Genomic DNA, 4,493 nt, shown 5'->3' on the forward strand with positions numbered 1-4,493 from the left:
ACTTAATGGAATAGACACTTAGTTTGGATAGGGATCTGTTTCCCTGAATACAGTACTTCAGGCAAAACTGTCATTTATGGAATTACAGAATGCCTTATCCACCATCATGATATTCCACACAACATTGCTTCTAATCAAGGAACTCACTTCACAACCAATGAAGTGTGGCCAAGGACCCACGCTCATGGAAATTGCCATCCTGAAGCAGCTATGTTATAGAACCTTGAAATCGTCTTTTGAAGATTGGTTACCATGCCAGTTAGGCGGGAATACCTTTCAGGGCTGGAACAAGGTTCTTCAAGAGGCTGTATATGCTCTGAATTGGCATTCAATAAAAGGTGCTGTATCTTCCATAGCCAAGATTCACAGGTCCAGGAATTCAGGGGTGGGGGTAGAAGAGGTGCCATTCACTATTATCCCTAGTGACCCACCAGCAAAATGTTTGCTTCCTGTTCCTACGACCTTATTCTCTGCAGGCCCAGGTGGCTTAGTGCCAAGGAGAAGAATATTTCCACTGGGAGACACAATGGTATTTCCCCTGAACTGAAAGTTAGGACTACTTAACTTTGGGGACCTCAGGCCCCTGTATCAATAGGAAATATGATAGTTACTGTACTAACTGAAGTGATTGATCCTTACTACCAAGAAGAAATTGGTAGTAGAGATCAATCACTCCTACCAAGGAGGGCTGTTTAAGTTATATTTTTCTGTTGGTATTCTGTTGTTCATAGTTTTCCATTATAATCTTTTTTATTTCTGTAAGGTCAGTAATGATATCCTCTCTTTCATTCTTGAATTAATTAATATGTGACTTGTCTAGTTAAAACTTGGTCAAATGTGTTGATTTTGTCAAAGCACCAACTGTTGCTTTGTTTATTTTCTATATTTTTAATTTTATTGATTCATGCTCTAATCCCTATTGTTTCCTTCCTTTTGTTTGCTTTGTGTTTAGTTTGCTCTTCTTTTTACAGTATCTTAAGGTGTTCTTTGATTTGAATTTTTTCTTCTTTTTAATATAGGAATTATACATAAATTTCTCTCTAAGCATGGCTTTAGCTTTTTCTTGTGAGGTCTGGTATACTACATCTTCATTTTCATTCATCTCTAAGTATTTTCTAATTTACCTTTTGATATCTTCTTTGACCCATTTGTTGCTTAGAAGTGTGTTCTTTAATTTCCACATTTCTAAAAATTTACCTAATTGATTTCTAATTTCATTCTATTGTTGTTGGAGACTATATGTTATAATATTTCAATCATTTAAAACTTTTTGGTGTTCTTTTAATGACCTAGCATGTGGTTTATCCTTGGAAATGTTCTTTGTGCACTTGAGAAGTATAGGTATTTTGCTGCCATTTGGTCAAATGTACTATATGTGTCTATCAGTTCCAGTTGATTTATAGTGTTTGAGTCTTCCATTTCCTTATCGATCTTCTACCAGGTTATTCTACCCATTATAGAAAGAGGGGTATTGACATTTACAACTATTTTTTATTATGCATCTATCCCTTCAATTCAGAATTGTTGCTTTGTGTGTTTGGGGGCTCTGTTTTTAGGCTTATGTGTATTCCAATCATGATAGCTTCCTGGTAGATTTACATTTTCTCCTTTAAAAATATCTATCTTTATCTCTAATAATATTTTTGGTAAAAACATATTTTGCATGATATTAGTATAGCATCCCCATCTTTCGCGTACTTGGTGATTAGTTGATATATATTTTCCTACACTTTCCCCTTCATCTTATTATATCATTTAGTCTTAAGTCTGTTGTCTGCAGATAGTGCTTAGTTGGACTTTTTTTTACTCTGATAGTGTATGTCTTTAATAAAATTTTAAATCTACAGAAAATAATATAATTGCCATAATATAGCTACATGGTAAGATACCCACCCTGGGAGGGTTTCTTTCTGAGTTGTGCCTTCCTGAGGGTTGGCACAATTTTAAACACCTAATTAGCAAGTCATCTGCCCTCACTTAAAAGGGGACGTTTTATGAAAGATGGCCAGGATGAGAATGTATCCTCTCTCAGTAAAGGTACTAATTAATGCATGTAGAGCTTACAGCTAGGCAGGGAATGGTTTCTATTCTTTTTCTGGTGTAATAGTTGACCAGGACTGAACCTTTCTCCATTAAACAATTGACTGTCCCCACCTCCCAAAAAGAGAATTTTTTTAGTCTGGTGTTCAGTGACATTTGAAGGGCCCATAATAAGCTCCAGTTTGACTAAATGTGATCACCAAAATGGCACTTTGTCTTCTCTGGCTCTCAAACACACACAGAGTTTTAATAGGCAGATGTATATCTATTAGGGTATTTCAAAAGAAGCCCTTTGAGTCCTAAGGAAACAGGTAACTACTTACATATTTCTGTAAACTCCTTTGCACTGATGTCCAGCCTCAATTCCCTGCTAACTGTAATTTAAATACAATTTATGATTCAAGTCAAAATCCTGATTGCATTTAGTTTGCTAGTGACAGAATCAATCCATTTTGGTCAGAAAAAAATGATGCATCTGCTGTCAGACTTCCAGTCTCTGAGACATTGAGGCTTCCTAGAGCCATCTCTCTGCATTTTAGAGTGGTCTGCCTTTCTTTCTCCACTGATATTTCACAATGAGCAGCATTAAACATCATCTCACCTACTCAGAGGTCAGGGGCAGTATATTCTGATATATCATCCAGAGATAGCCAAGCAGAATGACTTCATCAACAACAGAACAGCTTCTTTACGAGGAGGATAGGACAAGCATAGAGACGTGTTGTTTAGTTTGCGGTAAAGTAGGCTTTTCACACATTGGTACTATTGTACAATGTGCTGCTAACCAGGATAAAAGTACTTACATGGCCAGGCGCAGTGGCTCACACCTGTAATCCCAGCATTTTGGGAGGCTGAGGCAGGTGGATCATGAGGTCAAGAGATCAAGGCCATCCTGGCCAATATGTTGAAACCCCGTCTCTACTAAAAATACAAAAATTAGCTGGGCGTGGTGGCATGCACTTGTAGTCCCAGCTACTCAAGAAGCTGAGGCAGGAGAATCGCTTGAACCTGGGAGGCAGAGGTTGCAGTGAGCTGAGATCGCGCCACTGCACTCCAGCCTAGGGACAGAGTGAGACTCCATCTAAAAAAATAATAATAAAAATAAACTCACACAGAGAATAATAACAGCAGGCAGGTGTGTGGTACTGTAGCTATTAGGTGCATGTAGATGGCCCTATCAAATATTTTTAGAAGATTCGTTCCTTATAAACGACCACTCATTCAATTTTTACATAATTTGCTAATCTCACACATCGCTAATTCAAAAACCAACTTTCTTTTAGAACTTTTAAATATCATAATGAGTTTAAACCAACACAATTTGGCACAATGCATAGACCTGAAATGGTGAAGTACACACTACCTTCCCTTTAAATAAGGTAAAGCTGCCATATCACTCAGGTAAACTATTAGTGTTCATGGCAAACACTTGGGGAAAAACACTGTCACTCAGATGACAGACCTTCACTTTCCTCTGTCCACACTCGTCTAGCAATCTGCAATCAGCTGTGGATCTCACTGTCAGTGAAAAACTCCAGACTCTCCCATCATCTGCCTGCCTGTCAGTTAGTCTTGTCTGGTGGGGCCATCACAGGTATTGAGAGGACTGGCTGAGACTCACAGACAACTACAAAGAGAGTCAGACACAGAGACCAGTATGTGCAATGCACAATCCCAAGTGAAGATACACAAGGATCTGTTTCTCAAATGCAGCCCAAGCCAGTGAGTGTCTTTGTATGCTGGCCCTTGTGCCAGGCACTGCTTACCTGCTCAATGTCTCACAACAGCCAGCAAGGTGAGATGCATCCTTCTTTCTCAGAAAACCATGATCTTACAAATAAGTTCCTGGGAGAAGGGAATGGAAGGAACTGGTTTGGAGAGGTCTTCTGGCACCAAAGCCTGTCTGTCCTTCTATTAGCAACCACCTGCCGTGCTGCAACACTGGAGCCTGAGCACAGCAGTCTAACTCTAGAACCCGGGGCTTTAGCCACCAGATGGACTGCAGCTCTCCCGCAGGACATAGAAGCCTGGCTTCCCCAAATAGGAGGCGGGAACTGAATCAGTCAGGATTGGTTCAGTTACAAAGGACAGGCAGATTTATCAGAGGCTCAAACAAGGCATAAGTGTGTTCCACTCTCACATGAACGTCCAGAAGTCTGAGACAGCCATGACCCTCCACTGTGCCAGCTACCCACCTTCCCTATCCTGTTTCTCTGCTGAGCATGACCTCAAATTTATGGCCTATGGCAGCCCTTTTATTTTCCAGGCAGTAGGATTAAGGGGAGAAGGAACATGGTAGAAAAATCACAAAGGCGCTCATCAGCTGTGTCTTCGGGGAGGCCTTGAATGCTGTTGCATTCCTGTGCTTTTATATCCCTGGACACGCCTGAGTGCAAGGGAGGCTGGGAAGTGTAGTCTTCCTTCCAGATGGCCAGGGGCTGCTACAAGCTGTA

Source organism: Homo sapiens, chromosome 20 (assembly GCF_000001405.40).
Source record: "Homo sapiens chromosome 20, GRCh38.p14 Primary Assembly".
Classification (NCBI taxonomy): Eukaryota; Metazoa; Chordata; class Mammalia; order Primates; family Hominidae; genus Homo; species Homo sapiens.